This window comes from Homo sapiens, chromosome 15 (assembly GCF_000001405.40).
Source record: "Homo sapiens chromosome 15, GRCh38.p14 Primary Assembly".
NCBI classification, from domain to species: Eukaryota; Metazoa; Chordata; class Mammalia; order Primates; family Hominidae; genus Homo; species Homo sapiens.
The window spans coordinates 77,328,195-77,349,074 of record NC_000015.10 but is presented as its reverse complement, the minus strand read 5'-3'; the positions used below and the strand labels follow the sequence as shown (position 1 = coordinate 77,349,074).

Below are 20,880 nucleotides of genomic sequence, written 5' to 3'. Positions count from 1 at the left end.
GAGTGAGACTCCGCCTCAAAAAAAAAAAAAAAATTATTGACTGAATAAAATTGTGATTGCTTGCTAAGGCATTTTTTTGTATTAGTTAAATTATAAGTAAGAAAGGCTTTAAATCTCTATTTTAAGAGACATAGTCCATACATGGTAAGTCATGCCTATAATCCCAGCACTTTGCGAGGCCAAGGCAAGAGGATTGCTTGGGCCCAGGAGTTCAAGACCAGCCTGAGCAACACAGTTAGACCCCCACTCTACCCCCACCTGCCCGCCCCCTCCCCCACAAAAACAAAAAAGAAAAAAAGATATTCATCATCGGGTTTTAGTCACAGTTCTATAACTAAGAAGCTGGCTGACTTTGGTGCCTTGGGTTTTCCCGTGAGTCAGATTAACTATTTTATCATGGACATCAATTGGATCTTATACATGAAAGTGCTCTATAAAATGTATACCACATTTAGGAATTAAGCAAGATTTTAGCCCTTTTTCTGCCTGCTTTTTCAACTCTGGGCTGGTCACTTAAGCTTGCCAAGCTTTTATTTCTTCATAGGTAAAATAAAGGAGTTTGGCCTGTATATTCAACTTGAGTATTGTTTACATTGTGTTTAGCTTTTACAACCTATTATTTATTATTTTTTCTTTTTAAAAAATCAGCTGTTTTTTAAAGACATTTCCCTTGCTTATAGTGTAATTACCAAATAATAAGATGGGATTCCTTTAAATTTAACCTGTTTTATTTAATATTCCTATCAATCTTGTAAGAGTAGGTGGCATGAGACTCATTTTACTGATGAGGAAAATTGAGACTCAGGGATGTTGTACGCTAATTAGTGTGAGAGGTGGGATTCCAGTACAGGTGGGTCTCTGATCCCAGTCTTCTTTTTTTTTTTTTTTTTCTTAGCATGTGGCTTAAGTGAAGACACATTGCCATATACCTCATGTAGAGCAAGTTTTTGATCTCCATTGTTGTTTCTTTCTTTTTTTCTCTAGATGAATAATGTCTGACCAAAATGTTTTTGTAGAAAAGTGCATATATTTGATAGCCATGTGCATAGTTTGGGAATTTTAACATTATAGCACTATTACAAAATGTCTTGTTAGCATTATGCAACCTATACAGTATGTTTGGGAATCATTCAGTGCTTAAAAATAAAGTTTATCCTTCAATTAAGGTGAGCTACTTTTTTTTTAGTAGGTATATTTTATTTTTAAATGTAGCATTGTTTAATGTTGTAGATGCTTTTGAACTTAAACACTGTTTTGTGCTTGCTATAGAAGGAAAACAGATGATCTATACACTCACTAAATTTTTTTTCTTTTAAAAAACTCCTAATTTATTTTGTAACCTAGGAAGAGTTTTAAACATGGAAATATTTTCTGTAATTTCTAAAAATTTCTGTTTTAGGAGGGTGTTGTTTTATGTTGTTATATTTGTTATTTACATTAAAATTTTTTTAAAGTCTCTGGGCTATCTCAAATGTGTAGGTCAAACAAGTATTAGGACAAATACATCCAGAAACATTCCTTTGTGATTGGAGTTCATTTATGAGTGCTGTGCTTTAACGGTTCCTATTATAAGCCTCAGATATCACCTTGTCCAGGTGTGCCAGCCCTAGATGTTGATCTTATCTAGAACAATATTGCTTTTGAGGTTCCTGACAGCACTGATTCAGCCAGTACTCTGATGCCGATTCTTTCTGATTCAGAAACCTCTTCCTCTGTGGCATTTCTCAACTCATGCTTATCTTTTTTTTGTTGAAGGTTTCCTGGTGGTCATTACTAGTCCAAAAGTGAATTTCCATGAATAGTTCGTGGGTCATAGTTTTATTTTTATCTTCTCAGCAGATAACTTTGAAATGGCCGTGGCACTTTGAAGAGATCTTATCTTCTGCCGTTGTTAACGTTGTTCACAAAACTCCAGCTACACTGGCCTTCTTTTGTCTTCTATGAATATACCAAGTTTATTCCAACTTGCAAGTCTTCTACTCCTTGTCCCTCTGCAAGGAATGGTCTTCCCTCAGACTGGTGGTTTACTGGATTCTTCTTGTCATTTAAGTCTCAGCTTAAATGTCCCCTCTTCAAAGAGGCTTCCTTGACAACTCACTGTAAATTGGTGCTTCTCAACTCACTTTATTACATGGCTGCGTTTTGTTTTCCTCTTAGTACCAGATCACTAATTGGTAGCTGTTATTTCTCATTAATCTCCTCTGATGGGGACAAAGGGACATTGTGTCTAGTTTACTGCTGTATCTCTAGCACCTACAGTAGTGTCTGCCATAATAGGCATTTCAGTAAATATTTACTGAGTGACCAATGAATGAATATTTTTTCTACCAGCTATTCGTACAAATGTCTTTTCATTCTTTTTCATTTTCCTTTTGGTAGTCAGGAAGATACAATTAATGTTTTTGCAATTAATATTTTTGTATTTTTGACATTTTTCTGTTTCTTCGCTGTTTTGTCTCCTAGTTGAATTCTTTTAGAAGAAGGGAAAAACCTCTTGAGATGTGACTGTTTCCATCTATTTTCTGCTTGCCAGGTGGGTGTCTGAGCCCGTACATCCTAGTCATAAAAGCAATTAGCAGGTAGGAAAATTGGCTTCTAACAGCTGCTTCAGTCCTGCTTGAGTTGGCCTCTCCCCCAAGGGACTGATCACTGTCATCCTAGCAAAATGAAATTGCCTTCTCATAAACATTTTTCTGTCTGGGATTATAGAACAGGAACAAATTCCAGGTTTACAAAATGAGTTAAAATATGTCAATAGAATAGAACAAAATAATGACCTGCTGCTGCAATTTGAATTCTGAGTCAAGACAGCAACATTTATTTTCAGAAGAGATGACATTGAAACTGTGGCACTCTTAGTTCTATTGAAATGACTTTATTATGCCAAAAGGGTAGATTTAATAATTTATTTATTGGTATTGGTGAGGAAAGTGGCAATTCTATAAAATATAGCTTTGACTCTTGGTTGGAACTTTGGTTTATGGCATAGTCGTTGTGCCTTCGATTAACTCTATGGAAAGGGACAGGCATTTTTGAATGAATACTACTTGATTTCTTTTCCATTTCATTTCCCCAGGTATTAATTTATTCAGTTGTATTCTTTTTGACCATGATAGACCTTTGCCATTGCTATGTGCTATAATTAATATGTATGTGTAGGCTTTAAATGAGTTTGATTTTTTTAAATTACTTATTGATATGTAATTGTTGTACATATTTTGGGGATACATGTAATACTTTAATACCTGTATACAATGTGTAAAGATCAAATCAGGGTAATTGGGATATCCATCACCTCAAACATTTATCTTTTTGTGTGTGTTGGGAATACAAAAAAAATTATTTTAGCCATTTTGAAATATACAGTAAATTGTTGTTAACTCTAAGTTCCCTACTGTGCTATTAATCAATGGGTGTTATATAAACAGTATACCAATTCTGGGTTGTATATTGATGTATGCCGCAGTGTTATCAAATGAAGTGTTGGTTCACCTTGATCCTTTTTGGTAGGTTTTATCTGATGTAATTCCCAGTCTGAGCTAGTTGTGCAATGTTCTCCCTTTAAAAGCCGCCTTCTACTCAATATCTCCTTTTTATCTTTTCAAAACCTCTGGTCTTTCATAAAACTCAAAGAGTTTGTGTCACTAAATTCTGTTTTAAATGTTTTGTTACAAAAATTAAGAGAAACTATGCAAAATGGGGGTATTAGTTTTGTTTTTGAATGAATGAGATATGCCTTACAAAGCTATCCAGTTGAATGAAGGGCAAAAAACACACAATCTATCTCAATAGATGCGGAAAAAACCTTGGACAAGATTTAACACCCTTTCACGATAAAAAACACTCAACAAATTAAGAGTAGAAGAAAACTACCTCAACATAATGTAGGCCATATATGGAAAGCCACAACTAACATCTTAATCAATGGTGGAAAACTGTAAGGTTTTGCTCTAAGATCCAGGGACAAGGCAAGGATGCCTGCTCTCACCACTTATATTCACCATCGTATTGGAAGTCCTAGCCACAACAATTAGAAAAAGAAAAAAAATTTATCCAAACTAGAAAGGAAGAAGTAAAATTATCTCTGTTTGCAGATGACATGATCTTATATGTAGAAAACCCTGAAGATTTCATAAAAACAGGTTCGAATTAAAACAATTCAGCGAAGTTTCTGGATACAAATCAACACACAAATATCAGTTGTATTTCTAATCATTAACAATGACTAATCCAAAAATGGTTTCGAAATGAAGAAAACAATTCTATCAAAAAGAATAAAACACTTATGAATAAATTAACCAAGGAGGTGGAAGACCTGAACACTGAAAAGTACAAAACATTACTGAAAGAAATTAAGACATAAGTAAATGGAAACAGCCCATGTTCATGGGTTGGAAGACACTGTTGTTAAGATGTCAGTACTACCCAAAGCAATTTATAGATTCAATTAGATCCCTATCAAAATCCCAATGACTTCTTTGTAAAAATAGAAAATGTATCCTAAAATTTGTGTAGAATCTCAAGGAACTGCAAATAGCCAAAACAATCTTGAAAAGAAGAACAGAGTTGGAGGTCTCTCACTTCCTGATGTCAAAACTTACTGCAAAAACTATGGTTATCAAAGTAGTGTGATACTGGCATAAAGACAGATATATAAACCAGTGGAATAAAACAGACAGCCGGCCAGGCGTGGTGGCTCACGCCTGTAATCCCAGTACTTTGGGAGGCCAGGGCAGGTGGATCACGAGATCAGGAGATCGAGACCATCCTGGCTAACATGGTGAAACCCCGTCTCTACTAAAAATACAAAAAATTAGCCGGGCGTGGTGGCTGGCACCTGTAGTCCCAACTACTCAGAAGGCTGAGGCAGGAGAATGGCGTGAACCCGGGAGGCGGAGCTTGCAGTGAGCGGAGATGGCGCCACTGCACTTTAGCCTGGGCGACAGAGTGAAACTCTTATCTCAAAAAAACAAAAAAACAGACAGCCAAGAACTAAATCCTTGCTTATATAGTCAAATGATTTTCAACAAGGGTGGCGAGACCATTCAATGAGGAAAGGACAGTCTTTTCAACGAATCGTGCTGGTAAAACTATATTTCCATATGAAAAAAGAATGAAGTTGGAGTCCTACCTTATTCCACATACAGAAAACTAACCCAACATTGATCAAAGACCTAAACATAAAAGCTAAAACTAAAAGTCCTAGGAGAAAATCCTCATGACATTGAATTTGTAGTGATTTCTTAGTTATAACACCAAATGCACAGGTAACAAAAGAAAAAATAGATAAGGCCGGCGCGGTTTCTCACACCTGTAATCCCAGCACTTTGGGAGGCCAAGGCTGGCAGATCAGTTGAGGTCAGGAGTTTGTGACTAGCCTGGCCAACATGGTGAAATCCCATCTGTATAAAAAATACAAAAATTAGCCGGGCATGGTGGTGTGTGCCTGTAACCCCAGCTACTTGGGAGGCTGAGGCAGGAGAATCATTGAACCCAGGGGGTGGACGTTGCAGTAAGACGAGATTGTGCCACTCCCCTCCAACCTAAGCAACGGAGCGAGACTCCGTCTCAAAAAAAAAAAAAAAAAAAAAAGTAAGTTGGACTTTACTAAAATTAAAAACTTTTGTGCATCAAAGGACACTATTAACAGAGTGAAAAGACAACCTATGAAGAATGGGAGAAAATATTTGCAAATCACATATCTGATAAGGGATTGATATCCAGAATATAAAAAAATTCCTATAACTCACAACTACAAAAAACCAAACAATTCAATTAAAAAATGATCAAAGGCATTTCTCCAAAGATACAAATAGTCATGACCACATGAAAAGATGCTCAACATCATTAATCATTAGGGAAATCCAAATCAAAACACAGTGATATACCACTTTACACCTATTAGGATAGCTGTTATTGAAAAAGGAAAAAGAAAACAAAACAGAAAACAAGTATTGGCAAGGACACGGATAAATTGGAACCTTTGTGCATTGTTGTTGACGAGAATATAAAATGGTGCAGCTGCTATGGAAAACAGTATGGCATTTTTTCAAAAAGGTAAAAATAGAACTATCATATGATCCAGCAATGCCACTGCTGAGTAAGTTTTCAAAAGCATTGAAAGCAAATTCTCAAAGACATATGTACACACCCGTGTTCATAGCAACACTATTTATAATAGCTAAGAGGTGGAAGGTACCCAGATGTCCATCATCAGATGAATGGATAAACAAAATGAGGTATATACATACAGTGGGATATTATTTAGCTTTAGAAAGGAAAGAAATCCTGTTACATGCTACAACATGGAAGAACTTGAAGACATTATGCTAAGTGAAATAATCCAGTCACAAAAAGACATATGCAAGCCAGGTGTGGTGGTTCACTCCTGTAATCCCAGCACTTTGGAAGGACAAGGCGGGAGGATTGCTTGAGCCCAGGACTTCTAGACTAGTCTGGGCAACATAGTGAGACCCTTTTCCTACAAAAAAATTTTTAAAAATTAGCCAAGCATGGTGGCTCCTGCCTGTAGCCCCAACTACTCAGGAGGCTGAGGCAGGAGAATCACTTGAGCCCGGAAATTGCAGCTGCAGTGAGCTGTAATCATGTCACTGCATTCCAGCCTAGGTGACAGAGCAAGAACCTGTCTCAAAAAAAAAAAAAAAAAAAGACATGCTGTATGATTCTACTTATATGAGGTATCTGAAGTAGTCAAATTCATAGAAACAGAAAGTAGAATACCAGGGGCTGAAGGGAGAGGGAAGAGGAATTCTTAATGGGTATAAGTTTCAGATTTGCATGATAAAAAAGTTCTGGAGATGTGTTTCACAACAATGTGAATATACTTAACATTACTGAATTGTACACTTAAAGATGGTGAAGATTTTATGTTGTGTGTGTGTTTTTTTTTTTTTTTTTACCATAATGAAAGAAATGAAGCCAGTCATTCAATAACTGTTCATTAAATGGTTGTTTTGTGTTCTGCATACTGCTGGGCTAAGGAGATATAAAGATTACTAAAAGCCCTTAAGTCCTTTAAATCAATGTAACTTAATGCAGCTGCATTGAGGTGTAATATTATTATTTCTTAAATTTTATTTATTGTAAAAATCTAAAACTGTTCTAAAAAATAAAGTCTTAATTTTTAGATCAGTTTTAGATTTTTACAAACACTTCAGACAGTACAGAGCTCCCCATCCCCATACACAGTTTCCCTTATTAACATCTTGCATTAATATGCTTGTGGTACAATAAATAATTTGTCTTGTCTTTGTCTTAGACTTTTTTACATGGAAATTATAACTCTTGCAATTTCTGAAGTGATAGGTGTATCTTTGTTATGTAAACTTGGTAACTTATGGTGGACCCCTAGATTGCTTCAAGATGGGAGCTGTCACCAGAAAGAACAACCATGTGATTAGAAGGTTGGGACTTTAGGCCAGCCTGACCTGGTGGGAGTAGGAGGGTTTGAGTCCAGTCGTGTGGCTAATGATTTGAACAATCATGCCTATGTAATAACCCCTCAATAAAAACTGTGAACACCAAAGCTCAGTGGAGCTTTTTTTTTTTTCTTTTGAGATGCAGTCTTACTCTCTCACCCAGGCTGGAGTGCAGTGGCACGATCTCAGCTCACTGCAACCTCTGCCTCCCGGGTTCAAGTGATTCTTCTGCCTCAGCCTCCCGAGGAGCTGGGATTACAGTCACGTGCCACTATGCCCAGCTGATTTTTAAATTTTTTGTAGAGACAGGGTTTCACCATGTTGGCCAGGCTGGTCTCAAACTCCTGACCTCAGATGATCCACCCGCCTCCCAAAGTACTGGGATTACAGGCGGTGTGAGCCACCACACCCAGCCAAGCAGAGCTTTTTGGTTGGTGAAGACATTGGTGTACTGGGAGGGTAAGTGCCCTAACTCATGGGGAAAGGGCATAGAAACTCTGCACTTCGGACCCTCTAAGACCTTGTCCTATGTGTATTTTTTATAGTAAAGTTATAATTTAAGAGGCTGAGGTGGGAGAATTGTTTGAGCCCAGGAGATCAAGAGTTGCAGTGATCTGTGATTGTGCCACCACAGTCCAGCCTGGTGACAGAGCAAGACCCTGTATTAAAAAAAAAAAAAAAGCTATAATTGTAAGTATAGTACTTTCCTGAGTTGTGTAAATCTTTCTGGCCAATTTCTGAACTTGAGGGAGTCATGGAAACCTCTGAATTTATGGCTAGTTGGTCAGAGTGCAGGTGGTCTGGAGACTCCTGAAGTCCAGCTGGTTTCTAAAGTAAAGAGCAATATTGTTTGGGATCATACCCTTTAACTTGTAGGGTCTACACTAACACTGGATGGTTAGTGCCAGAATTGAATTACAATATACACTGTTATGGTTGAAACAGAATGGTGGTACATTCAATTAATGAACCAATATTGATCCCTTATTTTAAAGTAAAGTCTATAATTTACACTGTGGTTCACTCTTTATATTGTATAGTTTCATGAGTTTTGACAAATTCATAATAGCATCTATCTGCGATTACAGTGGTAATGGTAGATATTCCATTCAAGCAGAATATTTTCACTGCTGGAAAAGTCATCTGTGCTCCATTCATTCATTCCTCCTTCCTCGCCGCTGAACCCTTGGCAATTACTCATCTTTTCTGTTTTCATAAGTTTGCCATTTTCAGACTGTCATGTAGTTGGAATTATATAGTATGTAGTCTCTTCAGATGGCTTCTTTCACTTATCTGTGTTAGTTCAAGCTTCCTGTATGTTCTATGGTTTGATAGTTCATTTATTTTTATTCCTGAATAATATCCCAATGAGTGGACTTAATACACTTTATCCATACCTATTGAAGGACATCTTGTTTGCTTCCAAGTTTTCACAGTTAAGAAATAAAACTTCTATAAACATTTGCATGCAGGTTTTTGTGTGGACATTGGTTCTCAAATCAGAATGCAATTGCTGGATCATACAGTGAGACTAAGTTCAACTTTGTGAGAAGTTGCCAAACTATCTTCTGAAGTTACTGCATCATTTTGTATTCCCAGCAACACTGAATGAGAGATCCTGTTGCCCCATGTCTTTGCCAGCATTTGGTGTTGTGTTTTGAATTTAGCCATTGTAATAAGTGTATTTTATGGTAGCTCATTGTTTTAATTTGCAGTTCCCTAATAATATATGATATTGAGCCTCTTAACATATGCTTATTTTTCATATATGTATCTTCTTTGACGAGGTGTCTGCTCAGATCACTGGCCCACTTTTTAATCAGATTGTTTTCTTAATGTGGAGTTTGAGTTCTATGTATATTTTAGATAACATCCTGATTTCAGATATGTCTTTTGCAAATATTTTCTCTCAGTATGTGACTTGTCTTTTCATTAACAATGTCTTTTTCAGAGCAGAAGTTTTAATGATGTCCAACTTACCAGTTTGTTTTTCTTGGATAGTGCTTTTGGTGTTGAATCTAAGAAGTCATTGTCAAACCTAAGTCACCTAGATGTTTTTCTGTGTTACCTTGTAAAATGTTTATAGTTTTATGTTTTATATTTAGGTGTATAATCCATTTTGAGTTAATTATGTATGAATTTAATTTTGTGTGAATTTTGTTTTACATTTTTAAAATTATAAAATATTTAGAACATACAATTAGATATAAACACTAATATAATGACCTGTATCTAAAGTACTTACCAAATGGCTTTATCAAGTCTTACTTTTAGGGAGGCTAAGGCAGTGGATTGCTTGAGCCCAGGAGCTCTAGACCAGCCTGGGCAACATGATGAAACCCCATATCTACAAAAAAACTAGCTGGGTGTGGTGGCATGTGCTTTTAGTCCCAGCTACCCCGCAGGCTGAGATGGTAGGATCACCTGAGCCCAGGAGGTTGAGGCTGCAGTGAGGCATGATTGCAGTACCATACTCAAGCCTGGGCGACATAATGAGACCGTTTAAAAAAAAAAAAAAAAGTCTTAACATTTTACCTTATTAATCTACAGATTGTAAAATCAATGCAGTTGAGACCCTCCCTTGTGAATTCCTCCTTATCTCATCCCTCTCCCCTTCTCAGAAATAACCAATTTACAAATTTTAAAATTTCATCTTAACATTACATGTATTTCTGCAACTTGTTTATTTCAAAATTCAGCATTGTTTTTGAGATTTAGACACTTTTTTACTATAAGGAAAAACATTTTAATTTAAAGCAATTTAATGTTAAATAATCAATTTACTATAAGTGTTAATTTTATCATGGTTTCTTACATTAGCTTAGATAGAAATGCATGGTTTTCTGGAATTTACTATGATTTAGTTCTGACCTGAAGGTTAAGTTTTTCAATCCTTTAAAGACATATCTTTAAATTTTATTGTGGGATTCATTTTGTAGAGCCTTACTAAATTGGTTCTAAATAGCTAGATACATATATATATATATATATTTTTTTTTTTAAAGATTTTTCATGTGGTGTATGTTTTTTAGAATGTATATACAATTGAGATTAGATTGTTAATATGCTGTTCCATAGCTAGTCTGTTAAGAATACTCAACAGAAGCTATTGTAGAAATACTTAATTTTTACAAAATGTGCTGTTAGTTGGGGAGTGTACCTTTTGTAGATTTCTTTCTGGGGCTCTTTCAAAGTCACAGATTTTCTTTAAGCATCAGTTTCTGAGAGCACAATTTATAGATTTCATCAGATAATCTGTGCAATTCAAGGTGGAGGTAAAGGCATAGCTTCCTCCCTCAGCAAGAGGAAAGTGACTTGATTTTGCTTGGGATGGGATGAGTTGAACCTAATTATTTATGCTGATGAATGCAGCAAGTTTCATCCAGCAAAAGCAGATGTTTGCAGAATCTTCTGTGGCCTAAATTAAATCTGAACCATACAGGATTGCAGTCTTTAGAGAAGGCTACTCCCATTGTCTGCTGTATTAATTGTCCATGCTAATCTGTCACTGCTGATTTGATTATCATTGCTTATTTACCCTTTCATTGGTATACAGTTTGAGTCCAATAGCTAAAAAAGCTCAAATTTTTACTGCTTTACACATTTGAAAAATAATGACCTCTTTTTACCTCAAGATAATTTATTATAGGTTCCAGAAAGTGGTATGATGGTACTTCCAATTCAGATTATTTTTTTCTATCAGCACCCCCAAATTATTGACAGATTTAGCTGTAATTTAATGAGAACAGACTAATATGACAAGGGAATTGATTTTTTTCTTAAGTCCTTGCTCTTCTTAGCTCTATTGCATGAAACGCTAAAGTAGCGTTTTCCATTCTGTCTTCCTCAAGTATAAAATGTGTTCCAGATTTTGTCTCCCCAGCTCTTCTTCTAGTGACACTATGTTCATAACTGTGCTATAATAATAAAGGGTTACTGACAAATGACTTTTCCGGGTTAATTTTTTGCATATGCCATGGTTTTAGATTTCATCTCATTCATGGGAATTAATCCATGGTAAAGGTTTTGTAGCATATCTCTGAGGTAAGTGAAAGTTAAAAATTCTGTTGGTGTGGAATCTCTGCCAGACTACATCTTATCTTCTGTTTGGTATTTTGTGTTCAGGATCTTTGTATGTCAGGATGATGAATTCAGATTAATCTCTGGATGATGTTACAGACCTATTAATTTCAGAGAAATCATCAAATTCTTAGTTTGATCATGTAGTTACTTTACATTATTATAATCTTCAATGATTATTTCTTGATTTTTAAAATAAATATTCACTGATGGTTTCTCCTCTCAAATAAATGAAATACCATTCCTGGCACCTTTCAAAATAAACTTCTTGTCTTGGCATACTTAGAACCTTTTTTTTTTCCCTAGTGGAGCTTTCATGTCTGTATTATCTTGTCTTGGCTGAGTTTATTTGGACTTCTTTTACTCCTCTACCTGCTTCTCAAACTTCATGGGCACAGGTAGGTTATAATGATGCTTCTTACTGTTGGCATCTTGAGGGCTAGCCCCGCATCTTGATTGGTTACTTTGTTGTCTTCTCTTTTTCCTATCTTTACTCATTCTGTTTCCTCCATAAACACCTACTATAATCTAGTTAATTTATGTCTTTGGATATTTCTATATCTTTGGAAAATATTATATAGTGTTTAGTACATATATATATAGGTTATTAATTTTCACAAATGGCCTTGGTCTGTACATCCCATTTTATTCTTTTTTTTTTTCATTTAGCCCTATATTTAAACAATCTATTTTTGTTGCTATATGCAATTCTGGTTCATTACTTCTGACTGCTATACAGTATTATATCATGTACACACTCTTATCCATGTATACTGTGTATTTGTCTTATTTATACATTTTTCTGATGGCACTTGGGTGTATTCAACTCCATGTGCCATTAATAATGTTGCAGTGATAATCTTCATTTTATTTTATAGAGGTATATAATCAAGAATGTGATTGATCTGTTGTTGGATGTCCATTATTAAGTTCACCAGGTATTGCCAGATTGCTCTGTAGGATGACTAGATAGTTTTTACTGCTTTGAGCAGTGCATGAGGATTCACAGACTCTATATTTCATGTGGGCAACAAGCAACAAGCAACTGAAGAGCTGCTTTTATAGACATGATTAGCAAACGGCCAAATTATTTATGTGTGAATAATATAAAACCAAAGTAGGTTACCATTAACCCCTCACTCAGAAGGGACTCCTGAGTGGAAAAGCTGCCTTGGTTCCTAGTAAACGTCTCTATAATGAGAGCTTTTTGGTGAGAGAATATGAGGGTGAGCCCTCGTTGCAAGTAACTCTGCCTACCAGCCATGTGGACAGTTTAGTTCTGCAAGATGTAAATGATTAGATTCTTTGTGCCCATTGTGGTTCTTGGAATGCAAACATGAATGAGGCTGATTCTCTGCCCCTGAAGCTCTGTGGTTGTAGAACAAGTAGGTGCAGGTCTTGTGCTCATCTGTCTTTTGGAGAGACCCCTTTGCTTCATCTCAGAGAAGTTGGCACTCACTGTTTAGTCTTTCATAGCAGTCTTTTAATGGCACTGTTATTCTTGTTATCTTACCTTCAAAAATTAAGACACAGAGATACCTGGGTCTATTAACTCTGACCATTTGGAGTCCTACTAGTCCATCATTATACCTAACCTGGTAAAAGATTTCCCAGAAAGAGATAGGTGTTCTTATTGTGGCATTTGTTTCCTGAAGTGCAATGATTGGGGTGGGAAGGATGGCATGTTGTCAAGTCTCTTTGAATTGGTAAAATGGAGATTGGAAACCATTACCTAGAAGCATGGATTAATTAAAAGTAGTGAGAGGGCTGTGTACAGTGACTCACACCTGTAATCTGAGCACTTTGGGAGGCTGAAGTGGGAGGATTATTTGAGGTCAGTAGTTTGAGACCAGCCTGGGCAACATGGGTCAGCCTGGGCAAGACCCTGTCTTTACAACAGCAGCAAAAAATTAGCTGCATGTGGTAGTGCACGCCTGTAGTCCTAGATACTCAGGAGGCTGTGTCAGGCGGTTCGCTTAAGCCCAGACTTCATGGCTGCAGTGAGCTATGATCATGTCACTGTGATCCAACCTGGGCAACAAGCCAGACCCTGTCTCTTGAAACAAAGTAGTAAGCATCAACGTGATGTATAGTGATAAGAATACAGACAACAGTATTGGGCAAAATAGCAGAAAAAAAAGTTTCCTATCTTCACCCATCTAAATTTCCATTAAAAAGACCACTAGATACATAGATGAATGGGAAAAACACTGCATGTGTATTAGAAGCTAGAGCTTAATGCCACTCATGCCAGAAAACCCAGAATAATCTTTGTTAGGCAGCATTGCTTATGGTCCTGGAATGAAAGAAGTAATTGAGGAGGAGCCCCTGAAGGAGAATCTTTCTGAGAGAGGACTCTTAAGTTGGGAGGGACAGTAAACTTAATGCATGTTCCTACAAAGCACAGTGTTTAAATCCCTCTCTTGGCTCTTTGACCAGAAGCATTTGTGAACACTGTTTATAGATCTAGAGTTTGCTTATAGCACCTCCCTAGAAGAAACCTGTCCACATAGGTGGCCTAGTCACTAAGTTCCCAGCTACCAACCCTCCTGCCTCAAACCCTGTTCAGATTGCTGGATAGCTCAACTAGCAATCTGTTGAGATTTGTGTTCTCAAAAAGGTTTAGTCATTAAACCTGGGGAAGCTGGATATCAGTAATAAAAAGGAAGCAATCTGACAGGATTCTGAAGGCATGAAAATACAGTTGCCAAATTAAAATCTCTGGATGCAGTGAATAGCAAATTAGACACTACAAAAATAAATCAAAATGACAAAATAAGACAAAAGGAAGACAGGTCAGGAGATAAAATGTATTGTACAAACAGCAAGAATATCAGAAAGAGAGAGATGTAGCACACACATTGTTAAAAAAATAGATGGAAATGATGCTGATCCAAAAGTAATACAAATAAAAATATGAAAATATTTCCTGCTGGACTTTTCGTAATTGTAGGCATTTATGCTAGAGACAATATGAAAGGAACCGAGTTGATGGAGGTATAGAGAACCAACCCATAAATTCTCGCATGAAAGAGCAAACTGCCTGGGTCGTGAGTGGAAGAGATGCTGAATAAATCTGACTAAATCTCCTCTACTTCTCGGAAACAAGGATAAGCAGGTACAAGTAGAAGCCTGGCAAGATGGGAGACCTTCATCTGGAAAATATTTCTTCTTCCTGGAATAATAAAAGGCCTTCCTTCTGGTGTCAGGACCAGAAACACTACATGGTTGGGCAGTCATTTCAAAAGAGAAGACAGCATTACTATTATGCACAAGTGATCTACCAGAAAATCTAGGAAAATTACCTGAAAGCCTATTTGAACTAAAATTATGTGGTTAGTTACGTCTAAATGTACTGAAGTCAGTACTTTCTCAATATTCAAGGAATACCTAGTTGGAAACTACAATGGAGAAAAAAAATCTCTTAAGTATTTAGAAACGATAAAACAAGTACAAATTATTTTTTAAAAACCTTACAGGATAACATAAAGAGAGTTGAATAAGTACAGAGATTAAACATGTTTCTAATAAGCAGGACTCAGTCTTATATTAATTCTTCCCAAATCTATGAATTTGATGCAATTCTAATCAAAATCTAATTAACATTTTTGATTCAGAAGTGGGATGAAATAGGGAAATTTAACAAAATTGGTCTGAAATTGTTGTAGAATAAGTTTAAAAGAAAATTTTTGAAGGAGTAGCATTATGAAGTTGGAATTGCACCACCATATATTAGAAGATTTTTATAAATCTGCAATGATTAAAACCATATGATATTGACTAAGAATGGAACAAGGTAGAGTCCTAAAATAATACAGATTAATGTATGATAGTGAAGCCATTTCAATTCATTAGGAGAATGAATTAGTAAACAAAAGTGGTAAGAATATTGACTTAAAATTATCACAAGAATATAAAACTAGAGTTGTACTTCATGCCATGAGCTAAGATTTCAGATGGTTAAAATAATGAAAACATTTTAAAATAGAATAAAAACATAAGGAAATGTGTGTGTGTAAATATATAATCAAGTAGTGGAGAAATTATTTTCTATTTTTAATGTTTAAGAAAATATTTATTCTTAGATAAGCTTATATAGTTGTTAGAGAAAAGAAATATACAAGCAAAAAGAAGAAAAAATACCCAGACTTCTACTCAGTTAGAAACCACAAAACCACCATTGGTTTCTAACTTGATAGCATGTTGGTTGTATATAGAAGTGCTCTTCTAAATGCAAAATTAAACAAATAATAACACACAAAAAGTGATTGAATCCGGCACAGTGGCTCGTGCCTGTAATCCCAGCACTTTAGGAGGCTGAGAAAGGAGGATGGCTTGAGCCTAGGAGTTCAAGACCAGCCTGAGCAATAAAGTGAGACCTCTTTGCTATAAATAAATAAATAAATAAATAAAGTGTTTTAGTTGCACAAAAAATTATGTATCAAATACCATCAACAAAATTGAAAGGCAAATGTCAAATATGAAGGAATATTTATGCCATGTGATAAAAATTTAACACCTTTAATGTATGAAGAGCACTTATAAGTCAATAAGAAATGAATGCCTGAATAGGAAAAGGAGCAGTCATGAATAGGGCAGTTTGTCATGGAAAACAAAATCAACCAATAAATGTGGGAAAGCATCATCAATCTCATTAGTAAACAAAGAAATGGATAATAAAACAATAAGGTACCATTAAAAAAAATGAAGTGCCTTTTAAAATCTACTGATAAATGTGGGAAAGCATCCTCAAACTCATTAGTAAACAAAGAAATGGAAAATAATAAGGTACCGTTAAAAAAAAATGAAGTACCTTTTAAAATCTACCAGATTGGTAAAGCTTTTAAAAATGATAATGCCACCATGGGACAGGGTGCTTGGAAACAACCACTGTCCATTAACTAATAAAATTTATATTTTCCTCTAACTTTCCTATTATTTATTTATTTATTTTTTGAGACTCAGTCTTGCTCTGTTGCCCAGCCTGGAGTGCAGTGGTGCAATCTTGGCTCACTGCAACCTCCGCCTCCCGGGTTCATGCCATTCTTCTGCCTCAGCCTCCCGAGTAGCTGGGACTACAGGCACCCGCCACCACACCTGGCTAATTTTTTTGTATTTTTAGTACAGATGAGGTTTCACCGTGTTAGCCAGGATGATCTCAATCTCCTGACCTCGTGATCTGCCCCTCTCAGCCTCCCAAAGTGCTAGGATTACAGGTGTGAGCCACCGCACCCGGCCAAAAAATTTTTCAACAAACAAAAAATATATGGTGACCAGGTATTCCTGTTTAGTTTCAGGGGGAAAAAAATCAACTTTTTGTGTTTTGTCAAAAAAGGACTCACATATGCATTGTTAGTGAGGAGAAATGTAAGCTTATATTACTAGCTATTCTCTAAAGCAACTTATTTTTAAATTTATTTTTATATTTTTTTGAGATGGAGTCTTGCTGTGTCACCCAGGCTGGAATGCAGTGGCGTATTTTTAGTAGAGACAGTTTCGCCATGTTGGCCAGGCTGGTTTTGAACTCCTGACCTCAAGTGATCCGCCCGGCTCAGCATCCCAAAGTGCTGGGATTACAGGTGTGAGCCACCTCGCCCAGCCTCTAGAGCAGTTTAGAAAATGTATTAAAAGCATTCAGAGTGCTGGGCACAGTGGCTTATGCCTGTAATCCCAGCACTTTGGGAGGCCAAGGCAGGCAGATCACAAGGTCAGGAGTTCAAGACCAGCCTGGCCAATATGGTGAGACCCTGTCTCTACTAAAAATACAAAAATTAGCTGGGCGCGGTGGCACGAGCCTGTAGTCCCACGCTACTCAGGAGGCTGAGGCAGGAGAATTGCTTGGACCCAGGAGGCGGAGGTTGCAGTGAGCTGAGATCGTGCCACTGACTCCAGCCTGGGCGACAGAATGAGACTCCATCTCAAAAAAAATAAGTAAGTAAATAAATAAATAAAAGCATTCATGATCTAAATACTTTTTGATCCAACAATTGTACTTAAAATAATTTATCCTAGAGAAATTATCAGAGCTGTGCAGGAAGACATGTATTTCAAAGATATTCTGTGTATACAAGGATATTTATGATACAGTAAATGTAGAAACAACCTAAATAGTTAAAATAGAAAATTGTCCAGGCATGGTGGCTCATGCCTGTAATCCCAGCACTTTGGGAGGCCGAGGCAGGTGGATCACCTGAGGTCAGGAGTTCGAGACCAGCCTGGCCAACATGGCAAAACCCTGTGTGTACTAAAAATACAAAAATTAGCTGGGCGTGGTGGCACATGCCTGTAGTCCCAGCTATTGGGGAGTCCAAGGCATGAGAATCAGTTGCGCCCAGGAAGCGGAGGTTGCAGTGAGCCAAGATCATGCCACTACACTTCAGCCTGGGCAGCAGAGCAAGACTTCGTCTCAAAATAAATAAATAAGTAAAAATTTTAAACATAATAAAATAGAAAATTGATTCAATGTACTACATAGTATATGTCTATAATGGAATGCTATGCAATAATTAGGAATGCTAATAGTAAATGACAAAAGTTGAGTGTAAATTTTAGATATACTTTGATCCTAATTACTCAGCCATTCACTCACAAATACTTAGTACCTACTGTATCCCAGGAATTGTTTTGGAACCAAGAGATAGAGCACTGAGTGAGGAAAAAACAAAACAGGTCATTTCTTTGCCTTCATGGAACTTACATTCTAGTTAGTAGAGAGAGAACAGTGAACAAATAATTTGTCAGTTGGTGATAATTGGAGAAAAATATAACAGAGTAGGGTGATAAGGTGCACCAAGGGAGGGAAAGGGAGAGAATGCCGTTTTATATACCATAGGTCAGGGAAGTGTCTGAAAAATATTTGAATAAAGACCTGAAGAAAGTTAGGGAGGAAGAGAGCAATGTTTACATCTGGGGTAAGAGTATTCCTTGTGGAGGGAACTGTGTGTATTCCAGCAAGAGTAAGGAGGTCAGCTTAACCAGCACAGTTAAACCAGGGAGGAGAATGTATGGGAAACAGGGTGAGAGAAGTGGAGGTTAGGGGTGAAAATGGAGGACCTTGTAGGACCTTTTGTAAGCACTTTGGACTCACACATTGATGAGATGAGAAGCCATTGTAGGGTTTTGAGCAGAGGGATGAAATATGACTGATATTTTAAAAGATCTTTTTAGTGGTTTGGTGTAGAATAGATTGGAGAGGAGCTGTTATGGAATCATGGAGATAAGAGGTGATTGTAATAACCCTGTCAAGAGATGATGGTAGCTTAGACCAATGATGAGAAGTAGTTTGATTCTGGATTTACAACTCTTGCCCACAAAGCCTTGTTAAAAGAAATAATGAAATACGTACATCAACATGTCAATAGTTAATCTCTATTTGGTAGTATTGCTAGTGATTTGTGTTTCTTTATACAGACCAATGTTTTTCAAAATTTCTATATTATTTTAAAAGCAGTAAAAAAAAACTAAAGTGACTTCTACTTTTTTGTATTTTTTCTTGATTTCAGAGTATTATGTGCATTTAAAATTTTAAGAATTTTTTTTTCTTTTTAATATTAGGTAGTCACTTCTGTCTTGTGATTCAGAGGGTGAATAGGTCCAGCTCTTAAATTAGAACCAAGATATTAGTTAACTGACTAGTGTAATTGATCAAGGAAGGAAATTACACTTTTTTCCCCCACTACAGAGGACTGTATTCAGCATTTTCCCTGTCATTCTTGTTTTCCTCTGTAAACTCTAGAAACCCACTTTCATATATTGATAAATTCAATGCCATAAGGAACAATTTTTTCTTATGTATTCTGCTGTTCTTACCTCATCACTAATGCAGAATAACTCAGTGATGAAAAACTGTGCAATATAGTTCAACAGAATGGTCATGTCCAGGTCATCCTTGCTAATGAATGAGAGGTATATCATTGATTTCCTGAAAATCATTTGTATGTATTATTAGAAAATATGATTTTTTTCCTCTGACTTATCTTTCTGATTTGCTTGATTACACCAAATAGTAAGACACTCATAAACCTGCTTACTCTAACTTAGGTGTGAGGTCTAGTGGTCCAGAGCATGCTGGTTGGCAGAGAGGGGATTAAAATTCAGGGTGGAATTCAGACATGGCTATAGACAATCTGGATTTGATTGCATTCCTAAACAACGAATCAACAAAACAAAACCCTTAATTATCTGGAAGCCTAACTTGAGTGTTCTGTTGGTCAATAATAGTAATCCTTGCTTTCAGTGGTAAGGTTGAGTCCTGTAATATTAGTTAGAAAATAGAGATTCTGGCTTTTTACTCTCAGAAGAACCCCTCCAGGTGACATGAAGAGAGGACAAGATAAAATTTTGTTTTGCTCTGCATTTTGGTTCTGAATCATGTTTTACAAGTAAATTGCAGATTTGTAGTGGGACTTGTTCTATAAACAACAAAATTACTTCATGGCCTGTTGGTTGTATCTTAGCCCATTAATTAAAAATAAATGTGCTTTGTTTCATTTTCATGAAAATAGAGAAAGTATATATCATCTTAGACTGTAGATTCTAACGAAATGTAATACATGAACTAAATCTAAAGCTTTCTATACCTTCTGTATCTTTCTGTGCCTACTAAGCAATTTATGTGGTGGATAAATGTTTTATCATGTTTGACTTGTTTTTCTTTGTTTACCTAATTGGCATGTAGATTTTCAGTTTAGTTTTTTAGTGATCCAGGATGGATGTGTTTGTTGTTGCTTCCTGAATGTTTCAGTGAAAATAATTCCTTTGCTCCAAAAACAACTATGTGGTTTATAATGCTTATGTTTTTTGAATTTTTCCATCACTTTTCTGTGAATTGTGTGTGGCACTGTGGAAAGAAAAATAGACTTTGCCTTCACACAGACCAGGTTGAATCCCAACATTGTCATGTAATAGCTGCATGAATAGCTGTGAGAGCCTCAGTTTCCTCACCAATCAGACTACATTATGGATTTCTTACAGTGTTCCTCTAGCATTATGCCTAGTATATGGTAGGCAGCCAATAAGTATTACTTCTTTCTATTTTCCTTCCTTTATATTTTGTTTGTCTTCTTTATCGAATAGAACCTTTGGTAATTTTATTACAGTTTAAGGTAATTTATATAAAGAGCACTTTTAATGGTGAATGAAAAGAATGTCAGTTACTAAATTTGGTCTGCATGGTGTCAGAGCTTCAGTCGAGGCCTTGCTTTTTTCCATTCTTTCAAAAAATGCTTATTATACAGTTTTGTGGTACATTCAAAATAAGTACTTGTGCCAGAATATCCTGCAAGATCCTTGTGCTAGAAGCTTTGTATACCTTGTCTAATCCTCACAACTATATAAGGTAGATATACTTTCTTTTTTATTG

General features: G+C 36.3%; 1 protein-coding gene across 33 annotated transcripts in view; it reads left to right on the top strand.

The window, feature by feature from the left end:
• The window catches only part of PEAK1 (pseudopodium enriched atypical kinase 1), a 320,261-nt gene that overhangs the window by 71,840 nt on the left and 227,541 nt on the right, over positions 1 to 20,880 (top strand). For 4 of the 33 annotated variants that reach the window (XM_047433073.1, XM_047433072.1, XM_047433064.1 and 1 more), the window contains one exon: positions 2,464 to 2,533. The exons of the other annotated variants lie outside the window; for them this stretch is intronic. The gene's annotated coding sequence lies outside the window, so the exon portion shown is untranslated. The remainder of the gene's footprint in view (positions 1 to 2,463; positions 2,534 to 20,880) is intronic. 33 annotated transcript variants of the gene reach the window in all.